At 40.8% G+C, this 26,191-nt stretch overlaps 1 protein-coding gene across 15 annotated transcripts in view, besides 1 other annotated feature; it reads left to right on the top strand.

Moving 5' to 3' along the window:
• Positions 1–24,847, top strand: part of TMEM156 (transmembrane protein 156) — a 65,666-nt gene extending 40,819 nt beyond the window's left edge. For 5 of the 15 annotated variants that reach the window (XM_011513753.3, NM_024943.3, XM_017008629.2 and 2 more), the window contains 4 exons: positions 2,621–2,740; positions 5,172–5,255; positions 20,454–20,559; positions 23,950–24,847. In XM_011513753.3, coding sequence (XP_011512055.1) covers positions 2,621–2,740; positions 5,172–5,255; positions 20,454–20,521 — 272 coding nt within the window. In that variant the 3' untranslated portion in view covers positions 20,522–20,559; positions 23,950–24,847. Of the gene's footprint in view, positions 1–2,620; positions 2,741–5,171; positions 5,256–10,404; positions 10,538–10,560; positions 11,288–20,453; positions 20,560–22,279; positions 22,341–23,949 lie in introns of those variants that run through there. The other 10 variants (XM_047416190.1, NM_001303228.2, XM_047416192.1 and 7 more) reach the window with 7 other exon arrangements.
• Positions 2,813–3,312: an enhancer, noted in NCBI's record as "H3K27ac hESC enhancer chr4:38989899-38990398 (GRCh37/hg19 assembly coordinates)". NCBI's record gives its function as "activates a minimal SCP1, AML or CMV promoter by ChIP-STARR-seq in primed H9 embryonic stem cells {active_cell/tissue: H9 hESC(primed)}" and the evidence as "EXISTENCE:reporter gene assay evidence [ECO:0000049][PMID:30033119]".
• Positions 24,848–26,191: the final 1,344 nt, after the last annotated feature.

The following is a 26,191-nucleotide window of genomic DNA, read 5'->3' as shown; positions in this document are numbered from 1 at the left end:
CACAAATATGTACTCTTGTATTCTGCGAAAAGTATATTCATTTTGCCATGGGTAGAAAGTTAAAGGTGGCTGGGCACGGTGGAGGCTCATGCCTGTAATCCTAGCACTTTGGGAGGCTGAGGTGGGTGTATTGCTTGAGCACAGGAGTTCGAGACTAGCTTGGACAACATGGTGAAACCCTGACTCTACAAAAAGGATGAAAATAAGCTAGGTGTGGTGCACACCTTTAGTCCCAGCTACTTCAGAGACTGAGGCAGGAGGACTGCTTGAGATAGGGAAGACAAGGCTGCAGTGAGCTGTGATTAGGCCACTGCACTCCAGCCTGGGTAACAGAGTGAAACACTGTCTCAAAAAAAAAAAAAAGAAAAGAAAAGAAAAGAAAAAGACAGTTAAAACTTTATTCATAGTTTACTCTGCTGTGCAAAAACTAATTTGATCTTGCTTAAAAGCCTTCTTAACTGGGCGAGGTGGGTCATGCCTGTAATCCTAGCACTTTGGGAGGCCAAGGTGGGTGGATCACTTGGGGTCAAGAGTTCGAGACCAGCCTGACTAACATGGTGAAACCCTGTCTCTACTAAAAATACAAAAAATTAGCCGGGCATGGTGTCATGCGCCTGTAAACCCAGCTACTCGGGAGGCTGAGGCAGGAGACTCGCTTGAACCCGGGAGGTGGAGGTTGCAGTGAGCCGAGATCGCACCACCGCACTCCAGCCTGGGTGACAGTGAGACTCCCTCTCAAAAAAAAAAAAAAAAAAAAAAACCAGAAAACAAACCAAAAAAACAAAGCAACAGCAACAACCAACTTTGTACTTTGGTGGGAGTAAAAGCCTTCTCCATCAGGGGGTCAAACTAAATGTGATCCAGTCTGGCAAATTTACTCTGAGATAATAATTTAAACTGTTCCTCGATGTTCCCCCCAGATTTCTGTCTGTTTCCCCTTGCTCCTCTCTAAGAAGGCTGCAGGGATGGGTGGGCAGCACAGGACCCTAGGAGATACACTCTTCTGAGATCATGCTGGTGGCTGCACTGGCTGGTCTGGTCCCCATCATGTGTCTTGTGTTATTGCAATATGAAGTTGGTTCTGTTTCCATAGCTTTATCAGTGCCCAATGACACCTTGGTCTTTGGACCCATCCTGATCGTTGCTGGCACTGCCAGTGTTCTCTGCTATTTAACTTCATGCTTTTATTTTGCTGCGTGAGGAATGCAAGCCTGGCAGCTGAAGAGCGTGGAATAGTCTTGGGGAGGCTGAGCGCCGCCATCCTAATCCACCTCTGCCCTTTTTCTACTTAGCCACCTCTCTAAATGAATGCTTAATGCCTATTTAGTGTACATCTGGGTTCCTGTAAAGGGGACACCCAGGTTATGAACCCCACAAAGGCAGTTCATACCAAGAGTATAAACATGGTATACATTCTGCTAAGGTGCATAAGTACTAGCTGTCTTTTGTATGCAAAGAAGAGTGTACACAGGGTGGGCTTAGAAAGTCAGTAGACAGGCCAGGTGCAGTGGCTCACGCCTGTAATCCCAGCACTTTGGGAGGCCGAGGCGGGTGGATTGCCCGAGGCCAGGAGTTCAAGACTAGCCTGGCCAACATGGTGAAACCCCATCTCTACTAAAAATACAAAAAATTAGCCGGGCGTGGTGGTGAGCACCTGTAATCCCCTCGGAGGCTGAGGCAGGAGAATCGCTTGAACCCGGGAAGTGGAGGTTGTGGTGAGCTGAGATCGCGCCATTGCACTCCAGCCTGGGCAACAAGAGTGAAACTCTGTCTCAAATAAAATAAAATAAAATAAAATAAGATAAAATAAAATAAAATAAAAAATGAGTCAGTAGACAGTTGTGTGTTAGCTATGATGATGCCACCCTTGTGTGAGTCACTGATTCCTGGTTCTGCTGGCCAGTGTGTCTTTATGAGACCATGGGAGACCGTGCTAAGCTACTGCTGCATGGTGAACATCCTTCCCATGTTGCCTCATTGTCATCTGAATGAATGAGTTTATACCTGTATCCTTATTAAATTTAGGCCAGGGCAACTACGTTTAATTAGTGCATGCACTTGATCTGATCATTGGCGTGCAAAGCACTGTACTTACCGCCTATTACCCTGTGGAAAGAGGGTCTGATTATTCATTGTCCTGGCCACTTATATGCCTCAGACCAGTCCTTTGACTGCCTGCCTTTCTCTTTCTTCCCCATCTTCCTTGTACTCACTGCATCTTTGCTGATTTGAGGACATATTTTTGGGCTGCCTGGCCCAGGGTCAAAATTATGAATTGTAAGTGGTTCTGATTCTGGGATTGCTATGTTGTGGTCTTACCTTAGTTACAGCGAGGATAGTGAAACTAATATCAGCATAACCTGTAAGTGAAAGGAATCCTAGAATTTTGGAACTACATGGATAGCTGGAAGCTACCTACTCAAGTTTACCCGTATAATACCTTCATTTCATATATCAAGAAAGAATTCAGGAGAGCTAGTGACCCTGTAACAGTGATGGTCATAATTTCAGCTTTTCAATTCAGGGCAGAATATGTTGTAGAACTCAGCTACACTGCCACATTGCCTTTTATCTGTTGAATAATTTTACTGGGTTTTTACAGTATTTGTTTTCTTTACAGATATCACTTGTTCCATGAAGATCACTTGGTATATTTTAGTTCTATTAGTTTTTATATTTTTGATCATCCTCACTATCCGCAAAATACTTGAAGGCCAGAGAAGAGTGCAAAAGTGGCAGAGTAAGTATAATCCCTGTAGTGCCGAGGAACTCCTGATCTCTTCTATGGATTTCATTTCCTTTTTAGTACAATTTAGCATTTCTTGTGCACCTACTGTGAATAAGTGGTGATTCTTGGTAACTCAAGGAATAAAAACGTAGATAAAACACAGTTCCAGCATGCAAGGAGCTTCATTCATCTTTCTTCTACTCGGGCAAGTAAGAGAAGAAGAAAGACTGGGTGAATAGGAAGAAGCTGATGAGCTGGACATTGAGCAGGGCTTAGCGGAAGTGAGGGCAGAGAGAGAGAGAAGAACAGGAAGTGGGGATAAAGAATTTCAGGCCGAGCGCGGTGACTCATGCCTGTAATCCCAGCACCTTGGGAGGCTGAGGCAGGCGGATCACCTGAGGTCAGGAGATTGAGACCAGCAGACCAGCCTGGCCAACATGGTGAAAGCCCGTCTCTACTAAAAATACAAAAATTAGCCAGGCATGGTGGCGCAAGCCTATAATCTCAGCTACTTGGGAGGCTGAGGCACAAGAATCACTTGAGCCCAGGATGTGGAGGTTGCAGTGAGCTGAGATCGCGCCACTGCACTCCAGCCTGGGCAATGGAGCAAGACTCAGTCACAAAAACAAGAATTTCAGAGTTGGAGATCTTGAGCAGAGTGGCTGTAGGTGACGGGTGTGAGGCAGAGTCGATCTTTAATAAGCATGGGGGTATCAGATTTTTGGCAGGGCTGAGCTAAAGGAAATTAGAAATTAGGAATCAGGACAGTAGGAGCAACGTTAAAAATATTTAATAACTCGTATGACCTAGGCACCCACCTATCAGGATGGACATTGATTGTAAATTACTGGTATGATGCTACCGGTGTGTACCCATGCAAATACTGGCTCTACTGGCATGTCCCCAGTGCATAAAATGGATGACTATCAGGCCCAATGGACAATTCATAATATGAGTAGCTAGTCTCTTAAAGACAGTGCAAGATGTATTACTATAAGAATAGGCACTAAAAATAAATAGATTTATGTTAGAGTCCTAGTACTACCACTTACTAGCTATGTGACATTAAGCAAGTTATTTAAATTATGTGAGCATCCCTTACATCCTCTGTAAAACAAGCATAATCACCACTACCACACAGGGTTGAGGTAAGGAAATACAGAGATTACTTACAAAGTTTACCACAGTGTCTAGTGCATAATTAGTTTTCATTAAAGGACAGTAGTATTGTGGTGGTTGTATGATTTCCCAAGACTCTTTCCTTCTTTACCAGGCAAGGCTGTGTTAGCCATTTCAGTAGGCAGAACAAGTGGTTGCCTCCAGGTTTCAGTAAAGTTGCAATTCATTCTTTTGACTAGGTATTTGTTGCAGATATTTTTGAGAGCAGTTTCATATCAAGTGTTATCATTGATACCTTAGTAATAAAGCCCTTTGTGCAGTGGTTAATAACATAATCAATACTGTTTATTTGTAGAATAACCATTTTCAGAGCATTTTCACTAGATTCTTAAACTGTGTAAACAGGATATATGCTATTTTTATTTTGTAGATAAAAATCCCCTGAGACTTAGAGAGGTTAAGTGTTTATCCAAAGCTGCACAGCTAGTAAAATGTCAGAACTAAGATGTAGGGTATTTAGTTTTGAAAATTCTATTATTTAAAGTAAATGTGTGTTATTTATAAATAGTGTATAGTTCTGAGTTTCTTGACCCATTTTCCCATATGAAAAGCTATAAGCAAAGAGAGATAGAAGTGAGCTAGAAAAAATGTCTAGAAGGAGACCAGTAGTGGGGAGTCAAATTAAATTCTTACAAATATCTGCCCAAATGACAGACTTAGTGATTTTCAAAGGCTTGCAAATCCAAGCATACAAAGTAATAAAAAATGTCACACTACTTAGCACATTAAATGTTATTGAATATTAAACATACATTGAATATTCTTCACATCATATCTATGTATATAATAAGATAAAAATATACTTTTCTGTGTATAAGAGCTGTCGCTTTCCTTTTTTTTTTTTTTTTTTTTTTTTTTTTTTTTTTTTTTTTTTTTGAGATGGAGTCTCACTCTTTCGTCCAGGCTGGAGTGCAGTGGCATGATCTCGGCTCACTGCAACCTCCACCTCCTGGGTTCAAGCGATTCTTTTGCCTCAGCCTCCTGAGTAGCTGGGACTACAGGCATGCACCACCACGCCCAGCTAATTTTTGTATTTTTTAGTAGAGATGGGGTTTCACCATATTGGCCAGGCTGGGTTCGAACTCCTGACTTCGTGATCTCCCTGCCTCAGCCTCCCAAAGTGCTGGGATTACAGGCGTGAACCACCGTGCCTGGCCATGAATGGCTCCATTCTTTTTGGTAATCCTTTGAACCAACATGGGGAATATATGTTAACAATGCGCTTGTTTATCATCTAAATACTTCATTTCTTTTCTGGGAATAGGTCATAGAGACAAACCTACATCTGTTCTCTTAAGAGGAAGTGATTCGGAGAAACTGAGAGCATTGAATGTGCAGGTTCTTTCAGGTAAGTTCTGTGGCATGTAAACAAAACAGCACTCAGGAAATTCCAAAGCTGCATGGTTTCACTACACAGTAAACTCAAGATCTGAGATCTGAGCTTATGTAAATTAGCCTTGTATCTGGAATAACAGAGCTGTGGGCAAATGAAATCCAGTTTAATATGTCTTATTATCAGGGGACAGTAGCAATCTAAACTATCTCCTTAAATAATGGAAAGTTTGCTTAATTGGCAAGAAGAAATTCATGTGAGTAGGCAGAGGAGAGAAAGCAATAGGGATAAGACTTAGATTTATTTTTAAATGAGACAAGATACCATTATTCCCCAGAATTGCAAGAAGTAATTGCAGAGTGGGCATGGCTTTCGCTGGAGCCTTCCCTTAGCAGAGGGTGTCATTGTGTAAAGAGAACTTCTAATAGCCCCAATTAAAAAGCCCCCTGTCCTCTCCTGAGAAACAGAAATGGAATAAGGGAATTCTAATTAGAGCAGTGATGGGGGCTGTTAGCACAGATGTTGTGGTTCAATCCCTTTCTTCTAATTGTGAAGCCTCCTTTTGGATTCAAGCTGTCAAATCACGTTAAAAAGAGAAAGAGAGAGAATGTGACATGGACGAAGCCCTCTTCTTTAGCAGAGAGAAATAATATCCTTGACCGTGAAAACCACAGAATTATGAGTGCTGTTACCAAAGCTCCTTGTACACAGCCAGCGAGTAGGTGCCTTCGTACTTTGTGAGAAGTTAGAAAAAAAAGGAAGCTTCAAGTCTGGCATGTAAACAGTTTTCAAAAATGGGAGGATGCCGAGCAAACCTCCAGTCCCCCACCCTACAGCTGCATCAGTAGCGACATAGAGATTTGCACCGCATTTCACTGGGGACTTTGTTCACTGGGGGCTTTTGTTAGCCATTTAAATTAGCAGATACACGGAACCCTAGCTTGAGTGCACCTAAGGAGCTCAAATATTTTAAAAATTTAGGCTTTCTACCCAGCATTAGCAGTGAAAGTATTAAGCTATGACTGATAATAAGCATTAGCTAAATAATCATTTGACACCAGTTAAATGTGGGGTAAGTTGGTGGAAATTTTGTCCAGTCAATGAAAATCTTATTTGATTAATAAATTAAAAGCTATAACGTTGTTTTCAATGGCAAAATTAATTTTTAAAAGGCAAAAATGGCATTTTTCCCTGGGCTCCCCTCTTACTCAGTACATGTGTCCAAATATGAGGACAGTTTTAACACAGTTCTGTGGGGCTTTTTGGTCACCTTAGGAATTCTGGTCGTTTCTGTTTTCAAGTCGTAATTTTGAGCACTGCTGTCTTGTCTGAGAAAAAGTCTATAGTTCCCCCGTCAACCCATATAGTCGAGGGAATCACAAATTTTAAGTACTAGCTAACCACAAGACTAACCTCGCAAAGTTGTATTTATGAGCCTGTGACTTTCATCCACCAAAGAAACCTGTCTTAGCCATCCTTTCCCTTTCATAGCTCTCACTAAAAATCCTCTGGCTTTATTACCAGGTATATAATATTAATGTTTAGTGTAGGTCAAGGGGTGATGGCCTTTTTAAAACCAAGAACCCTTTTGAGGCTTAGCGTCTTAAAGAGAGAAAGAGGCAGACTCTTTCTTATTTATATTCCTTTAACCTAAATGCAATCTTTTCCTTCCCTATTATGAGTTGCTTTTCTGACAGAGAAAGGGAAAGGAAATCATGTCTCCCTTGAGTGCAGTTTTTAAGGCCTCTCTTTGTAGTGATGGATTATAGGCAGCAGTGAGAATGTACGGGAAAAATGTGTCAGCATGGTTCTCTGGAGATGCAGTAACACGGGTAGAAAAAAAAAATGTAGTTCAAAGCGGTGGTGACTGTGTCACATTCAGCAGAAGCAGCTTGTTGTCAACACTAGCCACACATTCCAGGATGTCTCTCCATTTGTTCATGCATTTAAAAGTGAGTATTGTTCAACACACACACACACACACACACACACACACACACAGAGAGAGAGAGAGAGACAGAGAGAAAGAGAGAGAGAGAGAGATAAATGGGCTCGTACCTCCAAAAGAAGCTTATTCATCCTACAAGAGAGAAATAAGGAGAGATTACCAGGACGCAGGCACCACATTGTGCCTGGCAGATTCTAGGGGCACGGTGGACACTGATGGAATAAATGCATCCTGCTGCTGTAGAAAGAGATGTCAAACTGAATCAAATCCCCATCTTTTATGTGTCTCTAATATTTTCCTCCTTGCTTTGAGAAGCGTGACAGCTTATGTGTCCTGGCTGGGCATTAATCTACTTTCCATCTTATTCATTTAACTATCGTCTTCACACACGTGATCTCTGTCTTATTTATCTGTGGAGTGTTGTTGCTAGCATAATATCTGGCACTATAAAAGCTTATTAAATCTCGCAAACCCTCAAGGGAAATAAGTATAGAGTAAAAAGAGCGGATGAGCAAGAAATGAGTCTGAGGGATTGGGAAATATGACAGCAAATAAAGAGACAGAGTAATTACAGGGCATAGAATTCCACTTTATTAAAGAAGGCATAGCACGCTTTGTAGAAGGGCTATGGATATCAAAGAATCATAAAAAACATTGACTGTCTTGAAGAAGGGATTTTGAAAAACATGCAAAAGTAACTCTAGGCCGAGTGTGGTGGCCCACGCCTGTAATCCCAGCACTTTAGGAGGCCGAGGTGGGAGGATCACTTGAGTCCAGGAGTTCAAGACCAGCCTGGGCAATATAGTGAAACCCCATCTCTATAAAAAATAAACAAAATTAGTCAGATGTGGTGGCACATGCTTATAGTCCCTGCTACTCAGGAGGATGAGGTGGGAGGATTGCTTAAGCCTGGAAAGTCGAGGCTGCAGTGAGCCGAGGTCACACCACTGTACTCTAGACTGGATAACAGAGCAAGACTGTGTCTCAAAAAAAAGTAACTTTAAAACGTACCCCTAGAAACAGTGAGTGCTTAATGAGTTGACCATGTTGGGAAACCAAAGCCAGGGGCAGGAGGAGTGGATTAGAATCTGAATCGTTGGATGCAAATGATAGAAGCCCACTTGACTGACTGCAGAGAGGACATTTGTTGGAAAACCAGTAGGTAGCCCACAGAAACAACAGGAGGCTAGGGAAACTAAGCGTGGAAAATAAACAGGTATTAAGGTGAGGGAGGGCAGGAAACCAAAAATACAGTCCAAGTTGCATGTCAGGAATGGTCTGGTGAGAATGCTCCCGCTGGTGTCACCCCCCTCTGAACTGCTGGGGCCACTCCTATGACTACCCTGCAGCTTTGCATCTCTCCTCAGGATTGCAAGCTCCAAGGAGGAGTATGAGGGGAGGCCATACAGTGGTACTCCAGGTGCCAGGAAGCAGGGAGAGGGGATAATATCTGCTCTTCTGGCTTTCTGCATACTTGTCATCACCCCTGACATGTCCACATGCTGGACTGCCAAATAAATATCGACATCAGGTTTCCGGGATCAGAGTTTCCATCCACTCCTGCTGTGTGGGTCAGTGAAAAGTTCATTTCATATCTCCCCTATATGTCCATCAAAAAGAGTGAAATCCTTAAAACTTGAAATTCTTCACATTGGATTAGTCAGGGTTCTCTAGAGGGACAGAACTAATAGGATAGTTAAATGATAGTTATTCATTTAACTATCATCTTCACACAGGTGATCTCTGTCTTTTTTATCTGTGGATTGTTGTTGCTAGCATAATATCTGGCACTATAACAGCTTATTAAATCTCGCAAACCCTCAAGGGAAATGAGTATAGAGTAAAAAGAGCGGATGAGCAAGAAATGAGTCTGAGAGATTGGGAAATATGACAACAGATAAAGAGACAGAGTAATTACAGGGCATAGAATTCCACTTTATTAAAGAAGGCATAGTACGCTTTGTAGAAGGGCTATGGATATCAAAGAATCATAAATAACATTGACTGTCTTGAAGAAGGGATTTTGAAAACTATGCAAAAGTAACTCTAGGCTGAGTCTTTATAAAGGGAAGTTTATTAAGGAGTATTGACTCACGTAATCACAAGGTGGGGTCCTACAATAGGCCATCTGCAAGCTGAGGAGTAAGGAAGCCAGTCCGAGTCCCAAAGCTGAAGAACACTGGAATCCGATGTTCCAAGGCAGGAAGCATCCAGCATGGAGAAAGATGGAGTCCAGAAGACTCAGTCAGTCTAATCTTTCCAGGTTCTTCTGCCTGCTTTTATTCTGGCCTCCATCGCTGCTGATTAGATGGTGCCCACTCAGATTGAGGGCAGGTCTGCCTTTCCCAACTCACTGACTCAAATGTTAATCTCCTTTGGCTACACCCTCACAGACACATCCAGGAACAATACTTCGCATCCTTCAATGCAGTCAAGTTGACACTCAATATTAACCATTACGACCATTAAGTATTTAACCAATATTTACTGAATACTGACTACGGGTCAGCCATTATACTAAGCATTGGTGATATAATGGGCACATACCATAGGCACAGTCCTTGCCTTTATAGAGCTTCCAACATAGTTAAGGAGATTCTACCTGTGGTTGACATAGGAGAAGGGAAACTAATATCTCATTAAGCACCTTCCGTATGTTCTGTACTTTCATGCACATCATTTCATTTGATTTCAAAACTCCGTTTTTTTTCCTGATGAGAAAACTGAAGATAAGGGAGTTTAAGTAACTGGTTCATAGCTGGTTTCTAACAGAGCCAGGGTTCAAACTCAGTTCTGTCCAACTGATGCACTTTCTAGCACGCCATGTAATGTCAATAGTGAACTGGGGGACTGGGGGTTTAAGCCACAGATCAAAAGCCTTCCTGCTCTTTTGCATTTTCAGTTTCTCATTGGAAACTGAGACAAAACATTTTGTCTATATAAGGTCCTAAGAGCTTGTGTATAACAATGTGAGTCATCCTCATTGTGGCACTGGCTGAAATTTTCTTGCAATTAATGTGAGTGGGTTCTGAGGGAACACGAAGCAAAAGAAAATGGAGTTTTATTGTGAAAGAGAATTACTAAATGTCAAAAGGAAGTGGATGACCCAATAATTTATATTACACCAAAATAAAACTAATGGCAATGTAAAATTATAATTTGGAACATGTTTATGGCCGCTATAATAAATACTAAGCAGGTTTCAACTTCCTGCAGATGAGAAGATAAATTACTGGTGCCAGATGTCCTGCAACCAAGAAAGATAACGTGAAAATTTAATTTTTACTTGCTTAACTATCTTATTTATGACTCTTAAAATACAGATTTGGGTTCATAAAACAGGAAAGGTTACAGCCATCTGCTTGGTTACAGAATGGATCAAAGTGAAGAGGATGATTCTTTTTGCAGGAAGAAATTCACAAATGTGAAGAATCTATAGGCGGAATAGGACGATTTATTCCAGTCATTCATTGAATGCCTTTACGTGACAGGCATATATGTCAGGCCTGGAAGAATTGATGGTAAAACATGTGCACATAAACATCTCCTTCATCTTAATATAGATTGTCCCTGCCTGAACCATCCCGCCTCTCCTGCCACCCTCTACAAACCTGCTCCCCTCCCACCCTGATGTTGTCTCGTTAGCTCCCATCTTTCCTTTCCCATCTGATCTTGGCTTAACTAACGAAGTTGTTTCAGACCTCCTGGACTAGGTCGATTCTCCTTATTACACACCCTCATAACACCGTACATCTTTCTTTGCAGCAACAATCACTGTTGCTATTTTACATTTTTGTGTTATTGTGCTTTGTGTTATTATTTGATTAGTGTTTCTCCCATGAGCCAGTTGGCTCTTTGAGGTCAAGGACACTATCTGATGATACTCATCACTGCATCCCCAGCTCATAGCATAATGCATATATATGGGCATGTCATAGGTACCCAATAAATATTTGCCAAATAAATACAACTCTACATTGACTGCGTTGAAAGAATGGCTGCTGCTGTCTTACAAAAGCCTTTCAAATACTTTCACCTCTAACTTATAACTTTTGATTATGCCTATCCAAAATAATAAAAAGAAAATGGTTAAACACTTCATCAGTTTTATCCTTTGGAGTATTAAAGATACCTGCAGTGTGAATTAACCAGAAACTGAATCAGTGTCTCAGAATATTGGCAGCTGTCAGTTCAAGATTTTTTTTTTTTTTTTTTTTAGTTAATCTGGAAAATTTTGCAGTCATTTATTTTCCATCCTCATTTTATTTTCACATTGACTAGATTTGGAGCAGATGACTAGTTTTAGGATCATTGTTAATAACAGATGGAGCTTTGAACATGGGAAGAAGTTGGCACCTTGAATAACAGAAATCTATTTTAAGCGGCCATAATTGGTTCTGTTAGCCCTAAAAGGCTACTCGCTATCTTGGGCTTACAGAAAACTGCCAACGTTTTTATGTGATGAAAAGGTCAGAATGATGTATAGCAATATTGAAGTTCTGCATTTCTCTGGTAATAAGGAGACATAATTAAGACTGGAAGGTTTTTTGAAGCCAGATCACTGAACTGAATAAGAATCACTAAACCATCAGAAAATTTTCACAGCTGTCTTGACCTGAGTAATCTATGAAGACTAACTTGAATTCCTTCATTTTTGGAGAAGCTCTTGTGAGGAAACCCAAATACTTCATGGATAACTGTTTAGACATTTATTGCCATAGTTTCCATGAAGAGTCATGATGGCTGCATCTCCCAAAGTGTGATGGAGAAAAGAAGGAGCTAGGGACATCATTTCCAAGGTCAGCTACCCATAGGCCTCCCCTGCTGAATATATATGGCTCCTACTAAATTCTGTGCATGCCCCCTGGGAGGGCTTAAAAAGATGCTGGTGAAAATATTTTTTGTGCTTCATAGTGCTTTCTATTTTCCCAAGTATAATATATCAAAATTCACAGTTCTCATCTCATTTTATCCTTACCTTTATTTTCCTCCTTTTAGCCTCAAGGCAGCCACACTAGCTTTGCGAAAGCCACAGGGAAGTGATCTTGGTTGTGCAGGTGTCGGTCCCCACTGCCAAAACTTTGAATGGAACGTGTGGGGCAAGGCCAGGACCCTGCCAGGACTGGCTGCTTGGCTGCTGCTGCCCACAAGGCTGCACAGGTGCCTCATGTCGGTGAATCTATCTGGTCCAGTGCTTCCCTTTATGCCTGGGGACTTAGCCTCCTGCAATGGCAGCACATCAAGAAGGATCCATTGTATAATGCAGTTCACACCAACAGGTTTATAAAACCTCAAGGCCAGTGCATTAATCCATAAAGAATGATACAATTGAGAGAAATACAGATCAAACACTTCTGACAGCAAATGTGCATTTTCTCTCCCAAGACAGATCCGTGTGGGAAGTCAAATCACAGGAAACAGATGTTGGTTAGGTCTTAAAATGCATTCCCTTGCCAGTCCAGGTGTGGTGGCTCACACCTGTAATCCAACATTTCGGGAGCCTCAGGTGGGAGGATCCCTTGAGCCTGGGAGGTGAAGGCTGCAATGAGATGTGATTGTGCCTCTGCACTCCGGCCTAGGTGACAGAGCGAGACCCTGTCTCAAAAGAAAAAAAAAATGCATTCCTTGGCAGATAGCTTGAGACTTTCTCCCCATTTTAGGGGTAGCCTGACAAGCTCATTTAACAGAGAGGTTTTAACATTTAACAAGCTTTGGATTGGGAATAATTTTTTGAAGATGAATTTGTGTGTCTGTGTGCTGATCGTGTGCTGATTTTATAGATTAAAATCAGAGGACCATTTTATTTTTGTTACCCCCAAATCATGGGTGGCCCTCTGGAATTGCTCCTTGAACTGCCTGAACCCATACCCTGTTGCTGAGCGAAATGAGGCACAGAGGCGTTAAATGATATTCTTTTGATCATTCAGCCCATATTTGTTGAGTACCTATTATGTGTCTAAGGTAGGTTCTGGGGAATAAAACAGTGCCCAGAATACCAGCTTTGTGCTCAAGGAGGCAGACAAATGAGTAATTACAACAAAGTTGGGTAAGTTCTCTATTTGGGACGTGGAGGGCACAGAGGGACAGATACTGTGTGATCTCCTAACCCTATTTACTCCTTCTTGGTATTTTTTTAAAAGTTACTTTTGGCTTTCCAATTTAATAACCATATAAAATGTAGCTGAACAAGTAGTTTTGGAGATAAGAGAATAAAAAAAAATGGCTGGGGCAAATTCCCTTAGCAGTCAAGAGAGGCTGGCTAGGATGAAGAAGTTTTAGATGAGCTTTCATGGTGGGAGATGGACCTTGTCTTTGACATGAAAATCATCAGGACCAAAGTAACGAAAACACCTTGCAAGTTTCCAGTACTCAGTGGGAATCAAAAGTTACTTGGGAAAGATGAGTTGAGGTTAGATACCAGATGTCATGGATATAAAGCACCTTTGAAAAGCGATAGAAATCTTTATCTAAAAGAAGAAAAAGAAGAAGCATCCGAGGGCTGCCTGGGCATGGTCAGGGATAGTGTGATAGGGGCTTTATTTGAGAGCATAAGGCATGGAATTTTATTTTTAATCAGTTTCTACTCCTGAAAATCCATTTTGTTCACTAGATTCAGCCAGGTCAAAATTCAGACTGGGATTTAAAAAAATTTTTTTAAGGCTGTTTGAAGTTTCTGAAAAGAAGTCATAGAAATGTTTGTTTCAGAGATTTGATAAATTCATGAAAAGACTGCTGTGAAGCTTTAAAATATTTCTGACTGTTTCTACTGCCTTAACTAGTGTTGGTGAATTAATATTATTTGAAAGAAATTGTATTTCTTATGTAGAACCAGAAAAAATTTCCACCCGTTTTAGCTATTCTGAAGAAGGCATTAAAATGACATATATCCTACCTTTTTGCCTTTTAATCAATTTTTAGAAGATTTGCTATTACCATATAAGTTACATGACTTTGGATACTGAAAGAAACTGAAGATAATGCCCCACTAGAGAATTACTTTAGACTAGCCATCATTTTGACAGGCAATCGCTTTCTGTTGTAAATTACAGTTATATTTTATGCTATAAACACCAGCAAACACCAGCCAAACCAGCGGTTTGGCTTTTCAACGAAAAGAACTCTGTTAATTTCCTTGGATAATTATTTAGTTTCATGAATAGGCTCTTTTGATATCTTAACCTTTATAAAGAATGATCTCAGCTGGGCCCAGTGGCTCAAGCCTGTAATCCTAGCATTTTGGAAGGCCGAGGTGGGCGGATCACTTGAGGCCAGGAGTTTGAGACCAGCCTGGCCAACATGGTGAAACCCCATCTCTACTAAAAATACAAAAATTAGCCGGTGTGGTGGTGCACGCTTGCAGTCCCGGCTTCTCAGGAGGCTGAAGCAGGAGAATTGCTTGAACTTGGGAGGTGGAGGCTGTAGTGAGCCAAGATTGTGCCACTGCACTCCAGCCTGGGCAACAGAGCCAGACTCTGTCTCAAACAAGAACAACAACAACAACAACAACAACAAAAGAACAATGTCAAATGTTAAATTGTGGGTTATAAGATGCTTTGTTATTTGCATGGTAAATTCATTCTGAAGCTTTAATGTGCGTCAGAATCAACTTGGATGTCTATAAAAATCCAGGCTCCTAGGCTTCTATGAAGATAGATTCTTAATTCAATAGATCTGCAACATGCATTTTAAATAACTACCTCTGTTGATTTTCAGGCCAAGGGTCTGTCAGTCACTGTACTTATTAGCTTTCTGTTGTTGTGTAACCAATTACCACACACTTAGTGGCTTAAAACAGCACACACTTATTATCTCACAGTTTCTGTTGGTCAGATATCTGTGCGTGGCTTAACCGGATCTTCTGCTTAGGGTCTCACAGGCTGAAATCAAGATGTCAGCTGGACTGCATTCCCATCTGGATGCTATGCATCTACGCTCACTCGGGTTATGGGAAGAATTCACTTACGGCTGTGTACGGAGGGCCTTGGCATCTTCCCGGCTGTCCACTGGAGGCTGTCCTCAGGTCCCAGAGGCCACTTGGCAGTCACCACCAGGAGTCCCTGTCCATAGGCATTTCACAGCATGGCAGTTTGCTTTTTTTTTTTTTTTTTTTTTTGAGACGGAGTCTAGCTCTGTCACCAGGCTGGAGAACAGTGGCATGATCTTGGCTCACTGCAACTTCCGCCTCCCGAGTGAGTTGAAGGGATTCTCCTGCCTCAGCCTCCCAAATAACTGAGATTACAGGCACGCACCACCATGCCCAGCTAATTTTTGTGTTTTTAGTAGAGATGGGGTTTCACCATGTTGGCCAGGATGGTCTCGATCTCCTGACCTCGGGTGATCCTCCCGCCTTGGCCTCCCGAAGTGCTGGGATTACAGTCGTGAGCCACTGCGCCCAGCCTGCAGTTTGCTTCTTTAAGGCTAGTGAGAGTCTTTCTGACCTCAGGAAGGGCCGTTTCTCTTTTAAGGGATTTTACCTCTTTAATTCAGGCCCATCCAAGATGGCCTCCCCTTTTATTGATTTGGGATATTAGTCATACCTGTAAAATCCCTTCATCTATGCCTTATAATATGACCTAATCACAGGAGTGAAATCCCATCTGGTTCATGGTCTTGCCCACGCTCAAGGAGAGGAGATTATAATGAGTATTGCACATCAGGGGGGTGGGACTCCTGGGGACTATCTTAGAATGATCCACAGCCATTCTTTTAGAAAGACAAAAATCACAGGCCAGGCGCAGTGGCTCATGCCTGTAATCCCAGCACTTTGGGAGGCCAAGGTAGGCCTCGAGATCAGAAGTTCGAGGCCAGCCTAGCCAACATGATGAAACCCCATCTCTACTAAAAATATAAAAATTAGCTGGGCATGGTGGCACATGCCTGTGATTCCAGCTACTCGGGAGTCTGAGGTATGAGAATCACTTGAACTCTGGAGGTGGAGGTTGCGGTGAGCCGAGATTGCACCACTGCACTCCAGCTTGGGTGAAAAAGCGAGACTCTGTCTCAAAAAAAAAAAAAAAAGAAAAGAAAAAAGAAAAGAAAAAAAATCACAGACTGCTAGGAACTTCTAGTGTGAGACTGGGCTGACAGACATAGCCCCATAGATGTGGTTGGTACTTAATGACAATAAAATAAAAGTTAAGGATGCCAAGGGGCTCAAATGCAATGGATGTGTGTGGAGGAGAGCAGGAGATGAGTGCTGTGGGCCAGGTAAAGATGGCCTCGGGTCTCATTTTCCCCTCTTTGTCCTAATAAGTCAAAGGAAGTTTTGTCATTTACCCTTTAGAAGTCTAAAGGGTAAGAAGAAATTCTAACTTTAGTGGTGATTTTAGTTTTTCCGTAGACATCTAAGGGCCCTCAATATCTGCTGGAAATGGCCTATTTATTCCTGCCCCTTAAACAGTAGTTACTATCTTAATTTTAAAAATCTTCAGATCAGGCGCGGTGGCTCATGCCTGCAATCCCAGGACTTTGGGAGGCCGAGGTGGGCGGTTCACCTGAGGTCAGGAGTTTGAGACTAGCCTGGCCAACATGGTGAAACCCTGTCTTTACTAAAAATACAAAAAAATTTGCTGGGTGTGGTGGTGTGTGCCTGTAATCCCAGCTACTTGGGAGGCTGAGACAGGAAGTCTCTTGAACCCGGGAGGCAGAGGTTGCAGTGAGCCAAGATCATGCCATTGCACTCTAGCCTGGGCGACAAGAATGAAACTCCATCTCAAAAAAAAAAAAAATTACTTTTAATTAAAAAAAATCTTCAGTTAAAATATATAATTTTCTGGGAAAAATGTATAAAACCCAACACCAGAAGAATTAGAAAATCTAAATTGTCATGGAAGAAATAGAAAATGTGTTAATTGTCCTTCAAAAAGTAACAGGAAGAGCAGTTCGCAGGAGAATGCTACCAATCTCTAAGACATAGGTATTTCCAATGTATTTAAACTGTTGCAAGACCAAAGATATTTCCTAATTCTATTTTTGAAATAAACATTATTAATAATATTCAAATCCAAGAAAGATTGAGTCTAAAATGAAATCAGCCTGGATGCAGTGGCTCATGCCTGTAATCTCAGGGCTTTGCAAGGCTGAGGCAGGAGGACTGCTTGAGCCCAGGAGTTTGAGGCTGCAGTGAGCCATGATGGCACCACTATACTCCAACCTGGGTGACAGTGCAAGAGCTTGTCTAAAAAAAAAAAAAAAAGAGAGAAAGAAAGAAAAAATAAATAAATCATTGAGAAATCTTACTTGTGTATATCCATGCAAAAATCCTAAATAAAACATTAGCAATCCAGTAGCACAGTTTAAAAATAACACACACACACATACACACACACACACACACACACACACGCACTCCTTCCTGATCAAGGGGGCCTATTCCAGGAATTATAGGACAGTTTAGCATTAGAAAACCTGTTACTCATCATCATATTTATAGATGTAAAGAGATAAATGGTTGGTTATACTAAAAATGCATTTGACAAAATACAATGCATTTTTCATTAAAACTTCTAATAAAAATAAGACAAATACATACTTCCTTAATGTGATAAAATGATAAAATATATTTCTCTCAAACAAACAAAAAACCCCAGAAATATGTTTTATAGGGAAACACTAAAAGCGTGCCCTGCCGAGCCAGAAATTTTCCAGGGTGTCCACTACTGCCATTTTATCTACCATTGTATTGGAAGTACTAGTCAACACAGTTAGTTAAGTGATCAGAAATACGAAGTTTCAAAACTGGAAAGAATAGGTAAAATGATCACGTATTCTGCAGATGATACAATTGTGTACCTGGAAAACCTAAGACAATTCCCTTAAAGAAATCATGAAAAAAGAAAAATTTAGTAAGGGACAGGGTACAAAAATATTTAAAAAATTAATGGGATCCACCTACTTAAACAATAACCAGTTAGAGGATACACTGTATTTAAAACAATTATAAATAAAGTAACTAGGAATAAACTTAGTAAGAAATTTGCAAGATCTTTCTGAAGAAAACTTCAGTAAAATGCTACTGAGTGACATAAAAATGACTTGAATAAAGGAAAAATGTATCATGTTCTTGAAGAGGAAGACGAATATATAAAGATGCTAATTCTTCCTAAATAAATAAAAATAATATCTTTTGAAATAAACAAGTTCATTTCAATATCCCTATGAAAAGTAAACTGTGAGTAATAGCCAGGAAAAAATTGAAATAGAAGAATAGAGGAGAGGTATTCATTCCATCAAGGTACTGGATTACAAACTGACTGGTATTGGGATGACTGAATAATCGTTTAGGACAACAAGTTAACTTAATCAAGATCTCACACTCACATTAGGGTGACTTTTAAATGGATCAATGATTTTAATTTAAACATTAAACTATAAAAGTAATAGAAGAATCAATGCTACGACTCATTTATAACTGCAAAATTGGTCTTTCTAATCATGACACAAAACTCAGAGAAGAGACTCATCAAATTGACTATGTGGAAAAAAATGTACACAGCAAAAAAACTATCACAAGCTAAGAAAAAAGACCAACAATTAATGGGCAAAATTATTTGCAGTTTATCGAGTAAGCAACTAAATCTCTAGTAAATAAGGAGCTTCTAATAATTGAAGAAAAGACCACAATGCAGGAGGCAAATGGTGAAGGATAAGACTGGACTGCCTACAGAAAAGGAAATACAAACGGCTGGCGCTTACACACGTGAAAGGTTGCTCAGGCTCATTCAGAATAAATTCTTCCAAAAACAGTTTTTTGGTGTGAGCCTACTATGTGCCAAGAATATTGACCTTCTGGGTATAGAAGGCAGTGAATCCCTCCCCACTACTCCCCAGAAAAAAAAAAAAAGAAAGAAAGAGGCAGGGAATGGTGGCTCATGCCTGTAATCCCAGCACTTTGGGAGGCCGAGGCAGGTGGATCACTTGAGGTCAGGAGTTTAAGACCAGCCTGGCCAACATGGTGAAACCCCGTCTCTACTAAAAATACAGAACTTAGCCAGGTGTGGTGGCACACATCTGTGATCCCAGCTACTCAGGAGGCTGAGACAGAATTGCTTGAACCCAGGAGGCGGAGGTTGCAGTGAGCTGAGATCGCACCATTGCACTCTAGCCTGGGCGACAGAGTGAGACTCTGTCTCAAAAAAAAAAAAAAAAAAAAAAAAAAAAATTCCCAGAGAAGGTTCTACAGTATTTCTGTACCAGTGTTTGATCATCTTCATGGACAAGAAGCATAATTTTCTTGAATACACTAAATCTCCCTTTCTGATTTCTCTTCTTAAGTAGCAACCACCCAAACTTCTCTTTAAATTGTAGGTCACCTCGGCTGGGCGCGGTCACTCACACCTGTAATCCCAGCACTTTGGGAGGCTGAGGTGGGTGGATCACCTGAGGTTGGGAGTTCCAGACCAGCCTGATCAACATGGAGAAACCCCGTCTCTAGTAAAAATACAAAATTAGCCGGGCATGGTGGTGCATGCCTGTAATCCCAGCTACTCGGGAGGCTGAGGCAGGAGAATCACTTGAACCCGGGAGGCAGAGGTTGTGGTGAGCCAAGATGGCACCATTGCACTCTAGGCTGGGCAACAAGAGCGAAACTCTGTCTTAAAAAAAAAAATTATAGGTCACCTCAATTTCACCTGTGTTCAGGGCTTTGTATCAAAAGTAGAGATGTCTATGAAACAAAAACTCAATTCTCAATATAAAAGCTAGAAAAACAAGACCGTGGATCTTAGGAGAATGAACGAGATGTCATGATGTAGGAAATAAAGTTTCATCTTCCACCTCGAAGTCAGCTGAGGATAATATTAGAAGAATTTTAAAAAGTCATACAGTCATGAGCAGGAAGACAGATTAGAATTCATCTAATTTGTGACTTTGCTTCTTGGTAAAATTGTCCCTGAGATCAAAGACATCATTAATATTCTCCTTAGGGACATATTTCAACAAAATGTGATAGAATAAAATGTTTGCAGTCAGTTTCCAAACTAAGATTCTTTGCTTGCTACTTGACACTGGACTTTAAATTTGTTCTCTACGTTGTCTTCCTTAACTATGCTTCAGGTATTTGTGCCCAGGACGTGGGGTGAGGAGTTGAGAGAAATGGGTGAAAGGTGTTAGAGAGGTAGGCAGGAAAATTAGTGAGGGTAGAAAGTCCCAAAATCCTTTCTAGAGGTAGAGCATGCTTCTCTTGCTACTCTTACTACATTAGAATAAGCCTGTCTCTTTTTGCTATTTACTACATATAGACTAAAACAGTTCTCCTTCTTAAATAGCAGAGACCACGCAGAGGCTGCCTTTGGATCAAGTCCAGGAAGTGCTTCCCCCAATTCCAGAACTATAAGTTACTTCCACAGTGCATCAGTGAGATCAATATACACGGTGAGTGATGATTCGGCTTTATCGACTTCTTCATTATAAACACAGATAAATTCAAGGATGCACAGTTGATCCCAAACTCCATTTCTATCTGGTAGGAGGTAGAAAATGATGAATTTGCAAAGTCAGTTCATATGAATTAGATGACATGAAATAAAATGACTATTTTCTCTAAGATCTAGGAAGGATCAGTAGATGGATCTCTTAGTCTGTTAAACTAATCTGTTAGTCTTTTAAACTGCTCCTGAGATGATAGCTTATCCCTTGGCCCTGTTTTTCCGGAGTTGAGCCATAACTTAGTTAGACTATGAGAAAATAGAGAATGAGATGTGTAAAGCAAACTGCCTCCTCCACAATTATTGAAATAAAAACTTCTCTAAATGTAACATCTGATAATCTAAATTAATGCATATTGATTTCCATGAATTTAAGTCTAAAAGTATGGTCAAAAGTGTTGAAATTTTTTTTTATTCATTCATCAAATCTTTCTTAAGTAGCAATTATGTTAAAGGCACTAGGAATAGCCATTGTAGGGGGTATAAAAATTATAACAGGGAAGGGGAGGGAAACTAGCATTTATAAGCATCCCACTTATTGTGCTTTGTGGTAATTGGTTATATCATTTACTCTTCAGAATACGTGGGTGGTTTTTCAGTCAAGGTCCTATCAGGAAATTGATATTGCACTCAAATTGAATAATTTGAGATTAGTTTAATGAAGGGCATATTAAACTAGGGTGTGGGAAAACTAAAAGGGAGAATGCAGCACCCTGAGACTAGGAAGAGTGGGGCCCTGCTACTGTCTTTAAGACTAAAGGGGAAAGAAACCCAGAGAGACAGAGACAGAGACAGACATGCATGCATGTATACACACACACACACACACACAAACACACACACACAGTGTGTGAGGAGGGCTGTCCTACAGGAGCTGTGACATTTGGTCAAGGGACACTATAGCCTGGGGTCACCCTGAAAAGAGAGAATAACTATCCTAACTTTGGGAACTCTTTTACACTGTTGGTAGGAAGAGTATAGCCACTACAGAAAACAGTAGGATATTTCTCAAAAAACTTAAAATAGAACTACTCTTCCATTCAGCAATCCCGCTACTGGGTATCTACCCAAAGGAAAATAAATCACCTCAGGGTGTGGTGGCTCACATCTGTAATCCCAGCACTTTGGGAGGCTGAGGTGGGCAGGTTGCTGGAGCTCAGGGGTTCGAGACCAGCCTGAGCAACATGGTGAAACCCTGTCTCTACAAAAAATACAAAAATTAGCCAGGCGTGGTGACACGTGTCTGAAATCCCAGCTACTGGGGAGGCTGAGGCAGGAAGATCACTTGAGCCTGGGAAGTTGAGGCTGCAGTGAGCTGTGTTCATGCCATGCCACTGCGCTCTAGCTTGGGAGACAAAATGAGACCATGTCTTAAAAAACAAAAAAAGAAAGAAACGGAAAAAGAAAATAAATCACTATAGCAAAGGGATACCTATACTCACATGTTTATTGTAGCACTATTCACAATAGCAAAGATATGGAATGGACCTAAGTGCCCATCAACAGGTGAATGGATAAACAAATGTGGTGCATATATACAATGAAATATTTGCCATAAAAAATGAAATCGTGCCATATGCAGCAACTTGGATGGGACTGGAGGTCATTATCTCAAGTGAAGTAAGCCACGGACAAAAAGGCAAATATCACATGTTCTCCACTTGTAGGTGAGAGCTAAAAAAGTTGATCACATGGAAGTAGAGTGGAAAGATAGAGAACAGAGACTGGGAAAGGTAAGTTGTGGGGAGAGGATGAAGGGAAATGGATTAAAGTGAAGGGAAATGGGTTAAAGGGTACAAATGTACAGTCAGATAGAAGGAATACATTGAATGTGTGAAAGCACAGTAGCGTGACTATAATTACACAAAAATGTATTGTACTTGGGCGACAGATATCCTAAGTATTCTGACTTGATCACTAATCACTATGCATTATATACATAGAACAAAAGTTAACAGGTACCCCATAAATTTGTACAAACAAACCCCAACTTTGCCATCATCTCTTCCTCTAATGTGCTAGTACTCCCCCATTGACCAAACCCAGCCAGAGCCAGAGGGCACTGGAGCCCAGCGGAGGCAGTTATGTAAGTTGGCCTCCCAGGGCACCAAGTAGGGTGGAAACGAGTGGAGGGCAGATTGGGAGAGGCAGCCAAAGGGATCCAGCGTCGATGGCTCAATACGCCAAATTGAAACTTAGTGCCAAGAATCTGTCTGTGTTCAAGGTTAAAGAGAGGCAGGTCTTAGTACTTTGGGTCTCAGTGCAACCAGGGTCTGCTGTTGGCTCAGAAATTCCTAAGTAGCATATAGTGTAGTCATATGATTGTGTCAATGAAATATTACTGGATATTATTATGCTCGAGACCTCTCATTCTGGTTGTTCATTCTGGGATGCTTATCTTTGCATCTGAAGAGTTCCTCTTTCTTTGTTCATTCACCAAATGATTTTTGACCACCTACTGTATGTTGAGAATCCTACTCATTGGCAAAAACAACAATGTAGTCAATGGAGGAGTCAGATTAGAGAAGCCCTAATTCCAATAAAGACTCAAGTAACATGATAAAGGTGTTCACATGTGAAGAGAGGGACTTGGGGAGCACGATAGAGAGACTCCTCCTTCAGAGGACATGATGCCTAGCGTTTAGATGTTCAATAAGGATTTGTTGAGTAAATGAATAAATCCCAATTTCTATGTCTCTGTGTTAGAATCATGGAATGTTATAATTGAAAGAAACTGGCATGAACACTTACACTTTCATTTGATAGATATAGAAAATAAACCAAACATGCTGTAGCAGCAGAGGTTAGTGGAGACTCTAGGTTTCCTTGGTCCTAGGCTGAGAAGTTTGTTATCACTGAGCACAATGTCTTCTTAGGGATATAATGGGGGGTGTCATGGCGTAACACAGAATCAGTCCTGGGGTCACCCTGAAAAGGGAGAATAACTGTCCCAACTTTGGGAACTCTTATACACTGCTGGTAGGAATGTAAACTAGTATAGCCACTACAGAAAACAGTATGGAGATTTCTCAAAAAACTAAAAATAGAACTACTGTTCCATTTAGCAATCCCACTACTGGGTATCTACCCAAAGGAAAAGAAGTCATGGAAGGGTGTGGTGGCTCACGCCTGTAATCCCAGTACTTTGGGAGGCTGAGGCGGTCAGGTTGCCCTGAAAGAGCCCTGAATCAGAGACTTGAGAACATTTTTTGGTGGTCTTATAAGCCATAGTTTTAACAAACGGTTTTAAAATTGTTTTCTGCCCATTCTAATTCAAGTAACACTTAACAAAATTTTTGTGTGAATAATATTTTCTTGCTTTTATTTAAATCTTCAGAATATCCCCGGGCAAGTTGGACCGAGCCCTTTGAAGAATACTCAGAAGTTTATTTTGTGAATGAGTAGACTGGAAAATGTTTGTGTCCAGCTGAGGATGCACAGTTGGAAAGCAGGAGGAATGCTGACTGGTTGATGAAAACTAGCTTAAGAGCATTCATTCGCTCCATGAGATCAAGGGAACAAGAGTGTTTGCAAGAAGCCATTATGAGTCATGGAAAAAAAGATGATGAAACCCATGGAAACAGCAAGAGAATTCCCACTCTCTCTCTTCTTAAAAAAAATCTATCATTATACAGCACAGAGTGGAGCCAAGTTTTTAATTTTGAGGAACCAAAAACAGGATCAAATATGAAAACCCTTTCTTTTATTGGGCCACATTGTAGATGCTGATTTGATAATTGTTTCCTATGCAGATAGATTATTTTTATTTCACAGATTATTTAAAAGGGAAGAGGGCCTGGTTGTTTATTTATATGTTTGTTTGCATTTATGAATCTTGCTGCCTTTTAGCACCAGGATGTTTTTAAAAAAATTCAAAGAGGCCAGGCGCAGTGGCTCATGCCTGTAATCCCAGCACTTTGGGATTCTGAGGTGGGAGGATCATGAGGTCAAGGGATCGAGACCATCCTGGCCAACATGGTGAAACCCTGTCTCTACTAAAAACACAAAAATTAGCTGGGTGTGGTGGTGCGCGCCTGTAGTCCCAGCTCCTCAGGAGGCTGAGGCAGGAGAATCACTTGAACCTGGCAGGCAGAGTTTGCAGTGAACCAAGATCACGCCACTGCATTACAGCCTGGTGCAGAGCAAGACTCTGTCTCAAAAAAAAAAAAAAAAAAAAATCAAAGATACCAATAAAACGAATTTAAATAAAATACTTAAGTACTTTAATAGCAAAACGTTTCCTTTGATTCTTTTGGCTTTCATATTTGTTATAGCCATTGTTAATGTCAAGCATAATTATAGTTACTAATAACAATAAAAAAGCACATATAGACAAGAGGGCAGCTCTTGACATTAAAATATAAACATGCTTTTCCAGAGTTAAGGTGGAACTTAATCTCCTGGCCATCATTATATGGCTACAGTTGCTTATCTGAGTTGATTTACAGGATTAACTGCAGGGTCAGATTTAATAATCAGTGATGGGGTTGAGGACACGCTGCCCCAAAATATGGCACCTTGGCAAACTGAATTTTTTAAGCTGAAGGATTTGAGAAAATGGCAAATTTTAAGTGGAAATATTACTCTGACCTTCCTTTGCCACCTTTCTCCCCGGAAGCAGGTAATAAAACCTTTGCTGACCTTCCTCTAAAACACATCATAGGACCCTCATGTGAGAGGTGCTCTTCCTGTATCCACAGAGGAAAGGCAGTTCCCTATCTCCCAAGACACAGGGACCCAGAGGAGAATCTGAACAAACGGGCTCTGCTAAGTTTCCCTCCATTTATTCCTATTAGATCTAGTACTCTTTTTGCCTGATCATATTTCTGCAAGTGTCTCTCCATTCTTCATCAAACCTACTACTAAAAACACTCAAGTGTAACTGTTTCCTCTGATCTTCACTTCCTGAGGATGGCCCTTGTGTTACGTAGAACTTGTTTAAATAAACCACTATGTTTTTCTCTGGTTAATCTTTTATTATAAAGGATTCAGCTCTGAATTTAAAAGGGTAGGAGGAAAAGATATTTTTCCCTTCCTACATAAGCAATCTAACAGGCATGAATATTCCAGCACACAGAGGTTTTTTTTTCTGGTATTCGATTATTTTTTCTCTAGATCACAAATTGAGATTCTAATTGTAAAATTTAGAGATTGAAGATTTCGCAAACGGAATTACAGTAGTCTCACTTTTTCTGGTCTGTGTATCCCTAAATAATAGGTGAGTCAAACTCAGGTCTGGGATTTTTCAGCGGTAGTGAAGGGGCATTACACCCTGTGAGGTATGGATATTATGCAATTTCTCAGAAGCCAAATTATTGTTTCCCTACACACCACCTCTTATGTTCTGACCAATGACTTAGAAATCAATGAGAACTTGGCTTGCAAAAAGCAAACATAAAGCTTCGAGTCCAGTTAAATTGTGGCAGCTTTCAGGAAGCTAATTTCGCCGATTCATTAAAATAATCGACTTTTAACAGATACTGTGACGCACGCAAAGATGTAGATGGCCTACTCTGCCTACAGAGAATTTACACTCTGGCAGAGGAGACAGGATGTGTACACCACTGGTGAAAATACTG

This window comes from Homo sapiens, chromosome 4 (genome assembly GCF_000001405.40).
Source record: "Homo sapiens chromosome 4, GRCh38.p14 Primary Assembly".
Classification (NCBI taxonomy): domain Eukaryota; kingdom Metazoa; phylum Chordata; class Mammalia; order Primates; family Hominidae; genus Homo; species Homo sapiens.
This window is presented reverse-complemented; position numbering and strand designations above follow the sequence as displayed.